General features: G+C 44.9%; 1 long non-coding RNA gene across 1 annotated transcript; it reads right to left on the minus strand.

The window, feature by feature from the left end:
* Nucleotides 1–3,850: 3,850 nt before the first annotated feature.
* On the minus strand, nucleotides 3,851–5,888 carry LOC124903376 (uncharacterized). The gene is made up of 2 exons (XR_007064324.1): nucleotides 5,765–5,888; nucleotides 3,851–4,431 (listed from the first exon to the last, which is right to left on the minus strand). It is a non-coding gene; the product is annotated as an uncharacterized LOC124903376 (long non-coding RNA).
* Between the last annotated feature and the right edge of the window lie 13,228 nt (nucleotides 5,889–19,116).

The raw sequence follows: 19,116 nt of genomic DNA on the forward strand, positions 1-19,116 counted from the left end.
GCTCCACCCTATGTCTAACTTGCAGCCACAACTTGCCCCAGAAGGTCATGGTTAGGTCTCACCTTCCCAGATCCCAGGGAACCCTTATGCAGCTCATTACTCCCTGCATAATTCTTGCTGCTTCAAGACTTTTGGAGACCGGATGGCACTTTTTTTTTCTTTTTTGAGACAGAGTCTCACTCTGTCACCCAGACCGGAGTGCAGTGGCACTATCTCAGCTCACTGCAACCTCTGCTTCCCGGGTTCAAGCGATTCTCCTGCCTCAGCCTCCTATCTGGGAATACAGGCGCACACCACTGCACCTGGCCAATTTTTGTATTTTTAGTAGAAATGGGGTTTCACTATGTTGGCCAGGCTGGTCTCAAACTCCTGACCTCAGGTGATCCATCCACCTCAGCCTCCCAAAGTGCTGGGATTACAGGCATGAGCCACCATGCCCAGCCTGGAAGCTACTTTATAGAGATCAAAAACAAATCTGCAAAGTTTTTAAAGTCAAGAATATTGAGGAGCTAACTCCTTAGTGGAGGTGTTAGACTCTCTGTTGGATAGGCTTGAACAAGATATAAGGAAATAACCACTTAAGGCTACACTTCTTGCCTAATTAGCCCATGGAAACCATATTTCCTCAATCCTTATTCATTCATTTATCATCCATCCATCCATCCATCCATCCATCCATCCATCCACCTATCCATTCATCTACGCCCATTTATCCATCCCCCATCCATCCATCCATACACCCACCAGCCTATCCATTCATCCCCCATCCATCCATCCATCCATTCATCCATCCATCCATCCATCCATCAACCTATTAATTAATCTACCTGCCTATCCATCCATTAATCCATCCATCCATTCATCAACCTATTTAATAATCTACCACATCTATCTCTCTCCCATCCATCCATCCATCCATCCATCCATCCATCCATTCATCCATCCATCCATCCGTCCGTCTGTCCCTCCGTCCGTCCATCCGTCTGTCCATCCGTCCATCCATCCCTCCATCCATCCATACACCCACCCATCTATTCATCCGCCTATCCATCCATCTTTCCATCCATTCATCTACACATCTATTTGTTCATCAATCTCTCATCCATACATCCACAAATCATGGTGACAATTGGGGTCAACTATTTGAGGGGCCTAGCTTTCTGAGAGATGTACTTTGGGTGGGCTGAGAAATCCTACTCCCAGTCTGGATTCTTGCTTGACTTGGAGCAGTCCTAAATATGAGATCTGCAAAACAATTTGCCCACAGTTGTCTGAAGAAACAGTATACTACCACTACTCTTCTCCAGTTTATGAATGAGGAATGAAAAAAAGAAATTGGATATGATGTGGAAGTCATTTGGGATATTATTTTTACCTATCAAGTTGACAAAATTAAAGAGTGTTCATCAGGCTGTATTGTAGAATAACAAACATTGTTGGTGGGGAATGTGATTTGCTGTGGACTTTTCAGGGGATACTTTTGTTAGATCTATCAAGGTTTTAATTGTATGGGCTCATTGACACAGTTATTCTATTGTTAGAAATTTTCCTTAAAAGAATGCCCAAAAACTGATAAAAGAATATTTCTTTGGGCATTGTTTATAAGAACACAATCCTTAAAACAACCTAACTGATTGATATGGTTTGGCTGTGTCCCCACCCAATTCTCATCTTGAATTGTAACTCCCACAATTCCCACATGTCATGGGAGTAACCCAGTGGGAGGTGATTGAATTATGGGGGCGGGTCTTTTCTGTGCTGTCCTGTAATAGTGAATGAGTCTCACGAGATCTGATGGCTTTAAAAACGAGTTTGCCTGCACAAGCTCTCTTCTCTTGTCTGCCACCATATGAGACGTGTCTTTCACCTTCCGCCATGATTGTGAGGCCTCCCCAGCCATGTGGAACTGTAAGTCCAATAAACCTCATTCTTTTGTAAATTGCCCAGTCTTGGGTATGTCTTTATCAGCAGCATGAAAATGGACTAATATGCTGATCATTAATAGTAGACAAGTTAAATAAGTTATGGCATATGCATTCAGTACAATTCTCTCTAAGTGATTAAAAAATGAGATAGATGCAGATGATAAGAGAAGAGCTCTAACACTTATCATTATGTTTTTATTATTCATTTATTTATTTATTTATTTTCGAGATGGAGTTTCACTCTTGTTGCCTAGCCTGGAGTGCAATGGTGTGATCTCAGCTCACTGCAACCTCCACCTCTCAGGTTCAAGCGATTCTCCTACCTCAGCCTCCTGAGAAGCTGGGATTACAGGCACCTGCCACCATGCCCAGCTAATTTTTGTATTTTTAGTAGAAACGGGGTTTCACCCTGTTGGCCAGTCTGGTCTGAAACTCCTGACGTCAGTGATCCACCCACCTCGGCCTCCCAAAGTGCTGGGATTACAGCTGTGAGCCACCACGCCTGGCCCATTATGTTTTTAATTGCAAAAACAAAAACAAAAATCAAAACAGGAAACATCCTAACTATCCATCAGTGGTGAATGGATGAACTAACCATGGTTTAGTCACACAACAGAACATTATGAAGCAATTGAAATGAGTATCTGTTATGGATGAATGCTTGTATCCCACCCAACTCATATGTTGAAATCCTAACCCCTAAGGTGGTGATACTAGGAGGTGAGGCCTTTGAGAAGTGATAAGATCATGAGGGTAGAGCCTTCAATGAATGGGATTAGTGCTCTTATAGAGGAGACCCCAGAGAGCCCTGTTGTCCCTTTCACCATGTGAGGACACAGCCCAAAGATGCTGTTTATGAACCAGGAAGTAGGCCTTCACCAGACACTGAATCACCAAACACCTTAATCACCAGACAATTTGATCTTAAACTTACTGGCCTCCAGAACTGTGAGAAATAAATGTTTGTTGTTTAAGCCACCCAGTGTATGGTACTTTTGTTATAGTAGATTAAGACAGTGTCTTAGATCTATTTACATCAATATGAATGAATTATTATAAGTATGTTTACTGAGAAAAGCAAATTCTAGGAAGATATAGTTGATATCATTCTATTTACGCAACATGAAATCCACATACACAAAATCACAATATATTGTTCTTGACTATAAATCCATGTAGCACAATTACAAAAATGTTCATTAGAATCATACATACCAAACTTCAAGATGGTGGCTACTTCTGGGGAGGGGACAGGATATGGAACTTGGGGGTTTTACCTGTATCTCTGTTGTTCACCCCTCCCTCCCTCCCTCCTTCCTTTCCTTCCTTCCGTTCCTTCCTTCCTTCCTTTCTTCCTTCCTTCCTCCCTTCCTCCTTCCTTCCTTCTCTCCCTCTCTCCCTCCCCCATCCATCCCTCCCTTTCTTCAGTTTCTTTCTTTCTTTCTTCTTGGATCTGAGGCAAATAAAATAAGGCAAACATATCTTAAATCTGGAAGATACATACATGGATGTCTGTTATATTATTTTCTGTATGTTTGAAAAATTTTGCAGAAAGCCAAATATATTATGTTTCCCTTTTGAGTAAGCATATGTTAGTATAGACGCTGGTATCAGTGTAAAAAATGTTGTTTTCTTGGTGAGATACACATGGAACTGTTAGCAAAGTGTAGCTTTAGGGGGAGATGAGGAGTCAGGTTTGCAGGAGGGATGGAGAGAGAGATTTTTGCATTTCATTTCATTCCTTTCTGGACTATTTGAATAATTTAAGATATGTGCACTGTAGTTCCCATTCATCCATCCATCCATGCACCCATTGCTGTATTTATATCCAACATGGGTTATCTGGTTGTTGGGGATAACATTTTTGTTCTATTCTTTAAATTTATCTAATCAAAAACCTAGTCAATGTTACTTAAACATAATAATCATTTACAATTGCTATTTTAATAGAAATTTATAATTCTTCTCTGACAACTTTTCATTCTGAGTTTTAACTGAGCCCAGCCCTGATGATAGAGGAAAGGAGATTTTATCTGTTAGTTTGCTTTGTATTTGAAAGGCCAGAAAGACCCCTTGAGATGACTAATCCAGTTCCTCATTTCAGATGGGGAAATTGAGGCTGAGAGAGGTTAGATTTGGATTAACGTGAAACTTAGCCCTTTGTGAGGACAGAGTGATACTTTCAAAGGGCCTCTCCATAATCAGAGCAAATGGGAAAGTCTCCCTCTCTCCGCCTGTGCCTGCCTGAGAATGGGTAAGAGAGAGGGGAATCAGGACTAAGGCCATTTTCTCGAGTGTCCAGATGATTGCTTTGGGACTGTCTGTCTGTCAGTTGGTGGCAGGCCTGTCTTTGCTCCCACGTGGAATCGGCAGCACCCCATTTGGCTGTGTGTATTCATGCGTCCCTTGTACAGGGGAGTCCATGTGGAAAGACACTGAGCAGATAGCTACAGCTGTTGTCACTTACACTCCAGAGAACAATTCCAGGAATTAATGGCTTCTAATCCTGCAAATAAGGTAGATACAGCACAGTGTTAGATTCCAAGCTGCCAGGCGCAAGCCATTGCTCTTATTTCATAAATATGCTTATAAGGACATGCTCTAATCGCAGGGCCTCCTCGATCTCCCCCTCCTGCAGCTAAGGCCCAAGGCCTCAGGCACCTTCCCAGACCAGGGAATAAATGAAGTCAATTAAATCTTTAAAGAAACTCCTTATGAGACAGTGTCAACAGATAATCAGAAAAGCTTGCAAGGAGTCCTGATACCAATTGCTTTAGATAGCTTTAAAAAGCAAAGTAGCAAGGATCAGATCCTTCACTGTAACAATCTTTCATTTTAATAATAGCCTTTATGTACTACAATACGAAGTATCAAAGTCTATTAAATATAATGGGCTGATCCTTCCAGGGATACAGAAGCAAATGAGTCCTTCTTTGGAGGTAGTTTAGCAATTTTGGGCTTTTAAGGCTTTACTTTAGCCCTTTGGTGGTGGAATTTACAAACAGGTTGGTTCTAGTCTGCCTGGCTTTTTGTTCACGTTCTGGGATCACCCTGGTAGGAAGGTGCTCCAGGGGCAGAAAAGACCTGGCTCAGACTGTGAGGGCTGGGGTAGATGGTGAGATTTGCCAAGGAGAGAGAGCAGCTACTGGGAGGTGACCGGAAGGCTGGGCAAGGTTGTGGGGAGTAAAGAAGGGGAGCAGTTAGCGCCAGGGTGGTGGGGGAGAGCAAGACTACTTAATGACCTACCAGGCCAGGGGTATGGGAAAGCAGCTTGGCTTTGGGGCATGGCCACCCTTCCTTACTCCAAGATGCCCTTCCGAAGCATATATAATTCTCCGCCATAATACCACTCTGAGGACTCACAGGCACTGCCCTGGAATTTATCTGATAAACGTTTGGCTCTGAGTTCCCACACAAATCTCATCTTGAATTGTACTCCCATAATTCCCACATGTTGTGGGAGGGATCCAGTGGGAGATAATTTGAATCATGGGGCGGTTTCCCCCATACTGTTCTTGTGATAGTGAATAAGTCTCATGAGATCTGATGGTTTTATCAGGGGTTTCCACTTCTGGATCTTCCCCATTTTCTCTTGCCGCCACCATGTAAGAAGTGCCTTTCACCTCCTGCCATGATTCTGAGGCTTCCCCAGCCATGTGGAACTGTAAGTCCAATTAAACCTCTTTTTCTTCCAGTCTTGGGTATGTCTTTATCAGCAGCGTGAAAATGGACTAATACATATCTCATGGCGCCCTGCCCCAAGGGAAGTATTTGTCCCCTTCTGATGGAGAGTCCCTATACTTAGGGGCTCCACACTACATCTGGACCCAAGAAATTACCTTCCACTTCTTGCTGTAAGTCAAGGGGCAACTTTCTCCAAATCCTGCCCACTCACCCACCCTAAGGCCCTTTTCCCCTCAGGGTCCCAGCGAGCCTCCGAGAGACTTTTCCAGCCCAATCTCCTTCATGGCTCCCTGAGAGATCAGAGGCCACAGGAGCACCCCAGGCCCAGAGCAGCCCCCAGGAAAGCTGTTCTTTCTCTTCCCATAGCCACTGAGTGCTAACTCCCGCAGCGCTGTGGCCCGGGGTCTCCTGGATCTGGGATGTGACCGTTTTTTCTTTCTCCTTGGTGTTTAATCACGGCTCCTTCGCGCATGCTTTCCTTTCGGATTTAGTGCCCCTGGTGGGATCTCAGGGGTCTGGTCTTACTGTTGAATAGCAAGGAGCTCCAGGAGAGGAGGGGGAAGAGGTATCGGGGGCAGAAAGGGAAAGTTATGCAGAACAAGATGTGGCCATCACAGAGGGTCAGAAAGGAGAGCTCGATGGAGGGACTACTTACAAAGGCGGAGGGAACCAGCATGGGATGGAGCTGCACACTGGCAGCAGGGGCAGCTGGGAGCTCTTATCCCTAATCAGGGGCTGGCACTAACCCTCCATCACCAGCCTCAAGGGGCAAGTGCAGTGACTGGTAGGAGAATAGAGTTACTGCCACCTGCAGCCTGCTGGTGCCTCCCATTGGCGAAGCCCCACCAGAAGCCAGTGGGCAGGGGGTAGTCCCATGAGGGAGCCTCCAGGGTGCAGGGCAGGGTAGGGAATATTAGCTAGTACAGAGGGGAAGACAACTCACTGGGGTGCCCACGGTTAACCCCACAGGGCTGAAGGCAACCATGGATCCCAAGTAGCTCTCCAAAGACTGGAGTGTGTCCCTGTAGAAGAATCCCACTCAGGGCTTGAGTGGCCCCAAAGTGGATTCACCCACCCCAGGCAGGAACCTGGAAGTTGTTTGGGGCCCTTCCTTCCTCCCTCCCTCATCCTCCTGCCTGTGTGTCACTTTCCCTTCACCTTGCCTGCATTTACTCCTCCCAACAATTCTATGAGATGGGGAGAGTAAGGTATGATGAGGCCAAGTCCCTTGCCCGATGTCACCCATCCGGCCAGTGATGGAGCCAGGATTTGAACCCAGTGCCCATCCACCTGCTTAACTACTGGGCTGCACTGCCTCACAGATTAGCTATGGAGCTGTCCCCAGGCCTGCTCTCCCACCAGCCACTGCCTCCAGCCACCCTTGCCTTCTCTGGGCTCAGCGCACACCTCCCTCTGCACCCCCAAGATGCCCTGAATCTTTCAAATGCTTCTTTGCCTCCTATTTAAAGCATGATCATTGTAGGATCTGAGAAAAAAACGTTCGAGGCCTTATACATCAAAAAGATGATGATGGCTCCTCTCCACCCTTTCATATATAATTAAATGCAAAAAATAAATACATAAAATAAGGGTAAAAAATGTCAGTAAGTCCTGATTTATCCTCAGAGATTTACTTTGATAATTTTGGAGGCAAATATCAAGTATGAAGTTCTTCCTAAACAATTTTTTCTCATTTTTTTTGGGTAGGGAGGGTGCTCCTGTTCAGTGGATGCTCAGTTGCCTGCTCAGTTTATCTATCGGGTAATCCAGTTCTGGGAAGAGGCATGCAGGAGCATTTTTTTCCCTGAAAAATCACAGTATGATGTAGTCATGGGAAATATTCCCATTTCCATGGCGTGAAGCCTGCTTCAGCTGAGAGAAAGAGTTCCCTACATGGGTCAATGCCAGATGGGTCAGAATTTTGGGGGGAAATAACCAGAAATAGAAGAAAAGGGTTTTTCTATATTCAGAATCTCTGGAAAATGTTTGGGACCAATCCACCACATCCAGCATTCTCTTGCACTCACCCAGGGGTTTAGGGGTTTATAGCCATTGAATGCGAGATGCTTGGAAGTGAAGTTGTGAAGGGATGTCTAAACTTTCTGTTAACTCCAGATCAGTCTCATCATTTTACAGATGGGAAACAACAGCCAAGATTCCTTTCCTCCAAACCACCCATCTGAGTGAGGTGCGAGGACTCTCAGAGCTTCCCTTGAGTCTTACAGAGAAGATATGTGTGGCACCAGGGATTCCCCAAGGAAAATGAACAAACTTTGTTATAAGGCTGGAAGGTGGTTCCAATGTGCCAAGGCACTTTGCAAAGCTGCAGTGCTTGCATGGATGAGGGGGCCACTGTTTCTTCCCCTCCTCCACCCAGCAGAGCTAATCTCTCTCTCCTGGTTTGAGCTTTGTGAGGTCCTGTACAGAGAGCAATGTAATTATTAGTTTGACTCAAGCGAGGGCAGGGATACAGCACGATTCACTTCTGCCTCCAGCATCTCTCACCACGATGGTCACATGGAGGTTCTTGGAGGGCTGCTGACCAACCACAGCATAGAGTCGCTTCTGAACCAGTACCCAAGAATTCCAGGTTCCATGTTTAAGAACAGCCAAGGTCAGGGACTCAGTCCAAAATTCTGCAACAGCTTCCTGAGAGGAGAGACCTTCATGGTATGAAAGCCATTTTGGTAGGGGTGGGAAACACTTCTGCTATTTTCTAGGGTGGCACCAATGTGTTTGAGGTCTTCAAGATGGAAAGGCTTGAATGGTTTGCATTACTGACCCTTGGGCTAGTCCTGGTTTGATCTCTGCATGAAGAACTGAGGCCAAGAGAGAAGGAATTCAAATCCACCAGGCTGATTTTCCTTCGTTACAGAAATGTCTTGAAAGGACAGTGTACACAGAAGGGGATGAATGTTGAAGTATTCAGTTAATTGTTCTTGTCCTTGAAGTAACTGTTAAAAAATTGTATAGACTTAATTTATTTGGTAGAGCAGTTTTTGGTTTGTGAATTGAGCAGAAAGTACAAAGAGTTCCCATGTAGCTCCTCTGTCCCTCCGCAAACTCTCCTGTCTCAGGGGAACTTTTTACATGGAGACAATACCAAATGTTCCCGTAGAAGAAAGATCGTTGGTGAGGATTTTTGATGCAAACAGGCCATTAATGGCACTCACACATTCTGATTTTTTTTTATCAAGGTTGAGTAGAAAGCCCACTGACCTGTGAATTACTGACACAGATTTGCTCGTTCATTGTCTTCAGTCATTTGACAAATATGCGTTGACTTGAGCACCCTCCCTGCCCAAATGTGGGTAGCAAGCACTGAGATGAGCTGGTGAGATTTGTTCCTGCCCCCATCCAGCTCACGGTTGAGTCAAGGGTACACCTACATAGGAGCACAGAAATGCTGTAGACACAGAACATTCAGCCCTGCTTGGTGCACCAGGGAAAGAACACTTCTTGGACAAAGCAATGTCTAAGGTGAGATAGATCCAAGATAAATAAACATGGCAGAATTTACAGGACTTCATGACTGGGATGTGTGGGATGTGGGAGAGGGGGCACCCTAAAAGGAGAACTTGGGCAACTGAGTGAATGGCACTATTCACGAAGGCAGGGGGCACTGGTGAGCAGGCTTGGAGGGAAGGGGGAGCTTTCAACTTCAGGGACAGGTGTCGGAGATGTCTGCTAGGACTATGAGTACCAGAGGCATTTAGTGCCCGAGTTGGAGGTCAGAAGAGGATTCTTGTTCAGATTTTGATCTGGAAGGCGTTATCTGATAGACGGCAGGTGGAGTCAGGTGAGGCCACCAGGAAGTGTGCATTGAATAGAACGACAACAACGTAGGTGAGGCTAGACTCTGAGCACACCAATGTGTAATGGCAGGAAGATGTAAGGAGTAAGTGGGTCGGCCACTAGGCCTGCAGTGGCAGGAGCAAAGTGATTGTGCAAAGGCCCAGGGCAGAGTGGCAGTGGCAGGCTCTCCTGGGTATGTGCAGTTCCAGAAAGAGCCCAATGGGAGGCTGAGACAGCAGAGGACGGCTGGTGGAGACATCAGGTTCTGACCCAGCTGAGAAAGACCACAGTCCACCAGCCTTAGATGTCAGCAGCAAAATCCAACAAAATGCTCAAAGATGGAACTAGATGTGATGGCTTCAGGAGATGCACCTGCCAAAATGCCCGCATCTCTCTTCCTGTCCCTGGATTGTGAAGGGGAGGATGAGAGGAATCTGAAACACTGAACAATTAGCCAAATTACACCTCAAAGAACTGATGAACTTGTTGAATTTGGATTACATTTAGTTTTAAAGCAGTTTGCTTTCAATGCATTCACAGTGCCTTTGCTACCCGGCAAGCTGAGAATGGGACCACTGAGTATGGTTCATAGCTGTGCAGTGCCCAGCCAGTGCTTCTGAGCAACGTGGCTGTGTTTATACATCTGAGTGTGAGTACTCTTGGGCCACTTCCTCGTTTATTGATAGGTTGGCCACCTCACTCACTGTCATACAAGCTTCATTGAAATAGAAGTCTCTACTGCATTGGGAGCACCTGCTACAGTGCCAGGCATGTGGAGTGCACAGTAATTCCTTATGGAATGAGTGAATGCCTCAGACAGAGAGCTATCTAGGTTCTGCTTGCAGACTTTTTTCCTTCTTGGGGAGTTCTATTCTACACAAAGTAGCTCATTCCTTTTTTCTAAACATTAGAGAGTTCCATTTGTTGGAACCTTAATTGGACCTATTATAATTCTTGTCTGGTTTTGTCCACTGGAGCAATAAAGGAAAATGCTTATCTTACTTCTGGAGTTTCTTCAGCTCCTGGGTTCAGCCCTCAACTATTCCTCAGCAGGTTCCTTCATCAGAATCAGGACAAAGCCCCCCACGATGAAATTCCCAGGAATATTGCTGAAAGGGGTATTTATCTTCCACCATGGGCTCACCAAGAACTGCCCAGCCTGGACTATCCCTGATGACAAATTAGTGGGCAGAAAAGCATGAGGTGACATTCCATTTAAAGGAATGTGAGGGATGAGCTAAGGGAATGAAGATCAACCAGGGGGAGAACACAGAACTGAATACTTCCCCAAATGAAAGAACCACGCTCTCCTCATTGGGCAACTTTTCTTTTGAATGTGGACAGAGCTTGCAACAAAGTCTCAAAGCAAGGCCGCTGCATACACTCTCTCCTCTCAGCAAATAAGAGTGGGTCTCCGAGAAAACCATCTGATGCTGGCATAAATGCCACTACTCAGCAAATCGCTGCAGCGTTACAAATATTTAGGTAATTATTTGAGACAGAGTCTCTCTCTGTTGCCCAGGCTGGAGTGCAGTGGTGCAATCATAGATCATTGCAGCCTCCATCTCCTGGGCTCAAGGAATCCTCCCATCTCAGCCTCCCAAGTAGCTGGGATTACAGGCATGTGTCACAAAGCCAGGCTAAACTTTTTATTTTATTTTATTTTATGTTATTTTATACTTTATTTTATTTGCAAAGACAGGGTCATGTTGCGTTGCCCAGGCTAGTCTGGAACTCCTGGACTCAAACTATCCTCTTAACTCAGAATCCTAAAGTGCTGGGATTACAGGTGTAAGCTGCCATGCCAGGCCCACTGCAGTTTCTATTGAGCACCTATTTTCTCCCCAGTGGGTGCTTCAGATTAGTAGAGATAGAAAAGAAACCCTTGTTCCTCCCTGAAGGGAGTCTACAACTCATCTTGGCAGACAAGGTTGAGTTTGAAATAATTGGTATCTGGCTAAAATGCTCAGGTTGGTGGAGGGAGAAGTTGAGTGACCCCAGGACAAGCCCTAGTCTTCTTCAATCTCCTCTGTAATCAGTGGATAATCTTGGCATGCCGAAGACTTCTGTCTTTTCTATGAAAGCCCGCTTGCCCTCTGTTTACACCATGGATGGTGTCTTACTCAACCCTGTGTCCCTAACACTTGGCACAGGTGGCACACCTCCCAGATCCTCGGGGCACATATGCAGAAAGATAAATGAGAGAGTGTGTCAACTTGGGGCACCACTAAAGAGAAGAATGAAACCGAAAGACTTTCTTATGTTTCTTTACACCTATTAGGAGGCTGGAGAGAACATTTTAGGTCTCAATATATACTTTCCGAAAAATCAAATGAATCACAGGACACTCAAGTGCAGCCGGCATTTCATTTTCATCATGGCAGCTCCCTCCTTCTATGCATAGGGGATTTCTTTTCCAAGTTGTCATCTTCCTTCTCCAAAACTAGGTAGAAGGCAGCTCCTTGGGAATTGTGTTGGATGAGGTTGTGTGTTCCTGAGAACATTGCTGGGCAGGTCGACTGCCATCCTTTTTCAGCTGCTTACAGAAGGAACATGGCTGGGTCTTCCCCTGGTCTTTGTCTCTGCTGTGGACTATGATAGTCGAGTCTTGCATTTGGCGGAATCCACAATGGCTGTCACCCAGGCAGGCCTGTCTGGGACCAGTGATGAGCTAGTGCTGAGGGACACTGCATGTTTTCTCTTTTGTACACAGAAGGTGGTCATACCTCCTCTCACTATGCCCAGGCCTGGGACAATGCAGGAGGACCCTAGTGGCCTGAAATCTATGTTGGCTTGTCACTTAATTGACAATAGAAGAAATTTATGAACTGGCAAAAAAAAAAAATGCTACTGCTTAAAATAACCACAAACCATTCGACATACCTCACATTGAAAGCTGAGCATTACCGCTCACACAATGACAGCATCCGTAAGAGGGTGCCAGATGTGTGTGTGGGGAGCTTGCGTGCGTGGATCTGGTTCTCATTCTTTGTGTAGCATCGGACCCAATAACTTTTTTTTTTTTCATTTTCACTGGACACTTATTTTATTCCTTCGGTTTTCTGGCCAGCTGTTGTTCATGGCTCTTTCTGTCCTATAGAATGCAGATATAGTCATTGAAACCCTAAGTTACCTAGTCGAAACCCCAAGTGAAACCCCAAGTTACCTAGGAAGGGAAGGTACAAGGACAAGGAAGGGTAGGGAGGGAGCCGCGTCTAGAGCAAGGCCCATGGGGGCCAGCACCCTGGGTGACCACAGCCATCCTCGGTAGACTTTAAACAACAACCTACTGAATGAATGCATGAAAATTGAGGACAAAATTCGTAATCAAGATTCTACACCCTCTACTAAATATTTTCATTTTTGAATGTTATGTTCTAGTGGGTTATATTGAATTTTTATTGTTTTCCATTTATCAAAAGCTTTATTTGCCACCTTGCATCCTAGAAATCTTAACATAGACCTGGGTTATATGATAACCATGACTGTTAGTGATAGAATATTCTGTGAGGAGGAAGTGACATCATCTAGGCAAATATTTCTAGATTTGGCAGAATTTAGAATCTTTTCAATTTTCAGTGATGATAAATTCTAAAACGCACAACCTAGTGCATATAACGTTTTAACTTCAGCAGAACTTTTTATGTTGAGAAGTTTACATTTTGTCATGAGTAGCATTAAGCTTCGATACATATTGCTAAGCTCCCTTCTAAAAGAGCATTTTCAACCGATCTTGACACATCCTACCAGCACTGTCTGTCAATGTTCTATAATTAGATGGAGGTGATGGTTGCACAACTCTGTAAATATACTAAAAATGTTCAATTTTATGCTTAAAACAGGCACATTTTATGGTATATAAGTTATATCTCAATAAAACTTACAGAATTGTTATAGGATAAAAAGAATGTCTTTCTTAAGTAGCTACACCTTTGGAATAATTTTAGGATGGTTTAATTCTCTACCATTTCATTTGACATTTTATGTTATGCTGAAATGTGATTACTCAACCCAAAATGTATGCTTTTCATTAAATGTAGAAAGCACATCTTATGCAAACATATCCACTGCTTCAGTTGAGAGTGATAAAATCTATGTTCAAATCCTGGTCATTTACTAGCTATGAGACCTGAACCATGCTTGTTTTTTTTTTTTTCCTTTTGCTTCTCAGTTTTCTCATCTGCAAAATGGGGCTAATAACTCTTTTCCTGCCTACTTCTGGTGGTTTTGAGGGAGAATTAATTAAGTCAACTGCAGATGCAGGCGGTCTGTGATGTGGTACATGAGTGCCTGCCGGGTCTTTGGAACCAAGGCACCACTCCAGGTGGTGATGGAAGAATCCTAGGAAGGACACACAAAAGAAACTTCTGATACAAAGGAGTCAGAACAAGTGACACGTTCAGAAAAGTCATACGGGTGAGTGGGTACAAAAATACTTAATGTAATAGAAGGAAAACACATGAAGTGCCACCTATTTCTTTAGGCACCCACAAGGCAGTGATAACAATACACTTGCCACAGCTACAGATTATTGATTTCTTGGCTGGGTGTGGTGGCTCACCCCTGTAATCCCAGCACTTTGGGAGGTTGAGGCAGGTGGATCCCTTGAGGTCAGGAGTTCAAGAACAGCCTGGTCAACATGGTGAAACCCTGTCTCTACTAAAATACAAAAATTAGCCAGGCATGGTGGTGGCCACCTGTAATCCCAGCTACTCGGGAGGCTGAGGCAGGAGAATCACTTGAACCCAGGAGGTGGAGGTTTCAGTGAGCATGACAGCACCACTATACTCAGCCTGGGCAACAGAGTGAGACTTTGTCTCAAAAAAAAATGGATTTCGTAGGGTCAGCACTATCAGTTATTGCTAATCCTCATGGCAGCAATATAGGGAAGGAGGTTTTCTATCTCCACTTTCCTGATGAAGGCACTGAGGCTCTCAAAGGGTAAATCGCTTGCTGATGGTTATCGAGCTGGTATACTCCCCAAACCCTGAGTGTTTTGCCCTATCAGCTGCCATTAGCTCAAAAACCTCTACTGTGTCTCCATTGCCTGTTTATACCCTAACTGAGAAACAGGGAGAAATAGGGGAGTTCTCAAAGCAGCCCAATGAGACACTACCCAGCATTTATGTCTCATGTTGGAAGAGAACATCTGATAATGCACTCTGCTTCACAAAAGACCACAGTGAGCTTGATGCTGGGTTTACAGGCGAGGGCTGCCTGAAGCTGGCAGGCGTTGGTGCTTGTAGGCCTGTGCCCAGCTAAAAAGCTGGATACTGTTTTATGCACCTTTAATGAGCCTGCAGATTCTTCCAGGCCTGGGGCCATGGCCTGAGTTTCAGCCATAGAAGTTCCTCCTCATTCTCCTCTTCTTTCTCCAGAGCTGATGATCATAATTTCTATACTGTGGGTGTCCTGAATCCCTGATTTTCCCCCCTGCCTGGGCAGGCCTTAAATTTGGGCAAAGGTCTTGGAAGCTGGGGCTGAGTTCACGTGCGGTAGGACTTGCTCAGCCACCAGCTACTGGTAATGCACCCAGACAGGGCTCTGGTACTGTGTCTGGGCGGAGAAGTAGGACTCTGAGGTCAGACAGGCCCATTTCAGGTTTATAGCTTCGTGAACTTGAACAAGTACTGACCTTTCCTAAACCTCAGCGTAAATTGCTCCTGGGGAGATTCAAGATAACGCATGTGGAGGAAAGAAGTAAGGATCTTCTATGTCTGAACTCCAGGTGATAAGCCAAACAGACAGGGATCCCCAAAACATCAGTTTGAGGGAGCTGGCCAGAGGCTCAAAGAGCAGGAAGCAAGAATGAGACAGCAACAGGTCAGGGATGGCAGCAGCAGACCGCGACCTTCTCTGCTACCTTTCCCACATTGCTGCAGCCAGTGTAATCTTTGAGAAGAATGCAGGTAATAATTTACAGTTAATCACTTATTGAGTATGCCTACAATAAGGCAGGCTCTATTCTAAGTTCTTGACATGGGCTAACATTATGAAGTTGGTTAAAATTATTACCACCCTTTTAATGATGGAGCGACTGAGACACAGAGTGGGTTCGGAAACTTACAAGCAGGATTCTGTGGTCTAGCTCTTGCCCGGATCTCCTGCCCCTTCCCACCCCTGCCCCCAGGCATTTTCTAGTTCCTCACACTGGCCAAGCTGTTTTCTGCTACAGTTTCTTCTTTGCAGTTACAGTTTCCTTCTGTCAGGAACACCCTCCCTCCCACCTCATTCTCCTGCTCAGCTTCTACACATATACCCCAGAAACACCTACCTCATCTCCCTGATGGAAACCCAGCTCCTTGGTTACATGTATACCCAGTACTTTTCCTTTATGATGTTTGTGGTGGGCTAAGTGTGGTTGCTGTTCTCTGACACTGCTCCTGCTGTGAAGAGGAGTCAACTTCTCTTCTGCTGAATCTGGGCCAGTCTGTGATTGCTTTAACCAGTAGAGTATGGTAGAAATGGCACTGTGCCAGTTCTAAGCCTGGAATTCCAGAGGACTAGAAGCTTCCACTGTGGTCTTCTGGAGCCCTGAGTAGACCATGTAGAGAGACCATGAGATGAAAAGAAGAGGGACCCAGTTGGGTTCAACCTTCCAGCCATCCCTGCCAAGGTACCAGGCCTGTGAGTAAAGTTGTTTTGGTTGTTCCACTCCATCCAGCTGCTTGCTGAATACCATCCAGTAATCCCAGTTGATGCCACACAGAACAGAAGAGTTGCCCAGCTGAGCCCTGCCCAAATTGCTCACCCACAAAACCATGAGATATAACAAAATGGTTGTTGTTATTGTAAATCGCTCAGTTTTGGGGTGTTTTTATGTGCATCAATAGGTAATCCACCCATTGCTGACATTATACTTTATAATTACATACTGAGACACATGGCTATTGAGTGTCTGTCTCTGTTCTCTTTCTGCCCTTGACTTTAGGCTCCACTAGCGCTAGAGACTTTTCTCTTTTTAATTCTATGTCCCAGCATCGAGCACATAACAGACACTCAAAAAAAGTTTGCTGAGCTATGTCATTCAGAACTCTATTGTTTATAAAGCTTTTTTATATTTACCATCTCTTTTGATCCTTACAGAAAGTCTACAAGGTTGTTTTTTATAATTATCCTCATGTTAGATTAACTCAACAAATATCTATTGAATTTCTACTATAAGCCTATTACTGTTCTAATCACCGTGGCTACAGCCATCAACAAGGCAGCCAAATCTCTGCCCCGTGGGCTCATGTTCTAGTGAAGAAAATGGGTAGGAAACAGTGTCGCCTGATTTGTGAGGTACCAATCAGTGCTGTGAAGACCACAACAAGAGTAAGGAGATAAAGAGATGCCTCACTGGGAAAGGTGGCAGTTCTAGACGAGGTGCTCAAGGAATGCCTCTCCAAAGAGATGCATTTGAGTGAGACCTTAATGAACTGAGAGAGTAAAGCAGGCTGATATTTGGTGGAAGAGCTTTACTGACAGAGAGAGTGCAAAGGCCCTGAGGCAGGAACATGAACCCAGAGACTCTTACTGTCTTGCTGTGGGAGGCTGAAAAACAGCCCCGCTTCCCCCTCTGGATATCCAGGTCCTAATTTTTGGAACTTGGGATTGTTACCTAATATGGCATAGGGGTGATTTGGTTAAGGATCTTGAGATGGGGAGATGATCCTGAAATATCCAGAGGGGTCCAAGGTCATCATAAGAGGTTTTATAGAGGGAAACTGAGGGACATTGGGCACACAGGGGAGAGGTGATGTGATGACAGAAGTTGAAGCAATGCAAGTGCAGGAATGCGGGCAGTCTCTAGAAGCTTGAAAAGGCAAGGAAACACATTCCCCCTAGAACTTCCAGAAGGAACCAGCCCTGAAGACACCTGGACTTTAGGCCAGGGAAACCGATTTTGAAATTCTGACCTCCAGAACTGTATACAAGAGGATAAACTTGTGTTGCTTGAAGCCATCAGGTTTATGGGAATCTGTAACAGTGGCCCTAGAAAACTGATACACGTGCCCAAGACCACAAGGACCTCCGGGTGTGTAATAGACAACTCTGAGTTCTCACCTATCTATCTCAGCGTTGGTGACGTCTTGGGGGAAGGCAGGCTTCTATCCCCTGGAAGGCCCTGGCACAGCTTATGTGTTGTTAGGTGTTGAAGTACTTCTTTACTGTTTGGAAGATAGCTATGCTGTGATAGCTCCCTTGGCTGCCCTGGAACCCGCCTGGGGAATCCCCTTGACTTAGCAACTAAAGGGTTAATGCCTGACGAGGGGAAGGGGCACTGGGGGTCAGCTCTGGCACAACGCCAGGGCTCATTCTGCTTGATCTTCATCCTGTCTGCCAGTTGCTAAATATTTTGGATTTTTGGATGTCTCCCTGGGGTTAAGGCGTGTTCTGCAGATGGTCCCACCAGATCTCTCAGGCTGGGCTGCCCAGAAGTCCTGAGCTGCTCCATTCCATGCCCAGAGCCAAAGGACAAACCCTGTCCTGCTGACTCCCAGCAGCTGGCTCATTTTTTAACAAAAGGTTTAAATTCATACCTAATAATTGTACATATTTATGGAGCACAATGCGATGTTTCAATACATGCATACCATATGCAATAATCAAATCAGGGTAAGTAGCATATCCAACACCTCAAACATTTATCATTTCCTTGTGCTGTGAACACAAAATGTCTTCTAGCTATTTTGAAATATGCAATACATTATTCTACAGGGGTACTGTAGTCACCCTAATGAGCAACAGAACACCAGGACTTATCCTCTTAATTTGCAACTTTGTACCTCTCGACCAATTTCTCCCCATCTCCCCATCTTCTCCCCTCCAAAGTCTCTGGTAACCACTGTTCTGTTCTCTACTTCTGTGAGATCAACTTGTTTGGCTCACACATATGAGTGGGATCATGCAGAATTTATCTTTCTGTGCCTGGCTTATTTCACTTAACATAATGTCCTCCCACTTCATCCATGTTGTAGCAAATGCCAAGATTTTCTTCTTTTTAATGGATGAATAGTATTTCCTTGTGTAAATATACCACATTTTCTTTATCCATGAGATGGCCCCATGAGCTAATCAAATGCTCCTAGTTTCAGCCCCATTGAAAACAGGACCAGAATAAATAAAATGTTTGCTAAGTGGAAAAAGACCATGAAGCAGGAAATAAGGAAACATTTTATATTCTTTTAATTTTGAGATGAATGTTGTAAACAGATTTTCTTCAAAGTCTATTAAAAGGCCCTTGCCAGCAGTGTCTCTTGCAGAGCACAGGCATAGAAAACAAGAAGTACTATTAAAAACAAACAAAACTTGACTTTTCTGTTGTTTTTGGTTGTTGTTGCTTCTAGCAGTGTTGAAGGTGTTTTGGTGAATTCACTCCTCACATGTGGAGCTGGGCTATGACTGATCTTGGGAACAACATCTTCGATTTTTCTTTCCAGAAGTTTCCTGGTCCCTCCTGGGCCCTGATTATGTGAGAGAACTATCAGGGATAAGCACCCAGAGCCTGGCACATGGTGGGGGCTCAAGTGTGTTTTATTTATTTATTACTTTTATAGGAGAGATGGGGTTTTTCCATGTCAGCCAGGCTGGTCTTGAACTCCTGGCCTCATGTGACCCACCTGCCTTGGCCTCCCAAAGTGCTGGGATTACAGGTGTGAGCCACCACATCCGGCCCGCCTGTGTTTGATGAAAGAATGAATGAATGAACTCTCACAACAATTCATTC

Source organism: Homo sapiens, chromosome 14 (genome assembly GCF_000001405.40).
Source record: "Homo sapiens chromosome 14, GRCh38.p14 Primary Assembly".
Classification (NCBI taxonomy): Eukaryota; Metazoa; Chordata; class Mammalia; order Primates; family Hominidae; genus Homo; species Homo sapiens.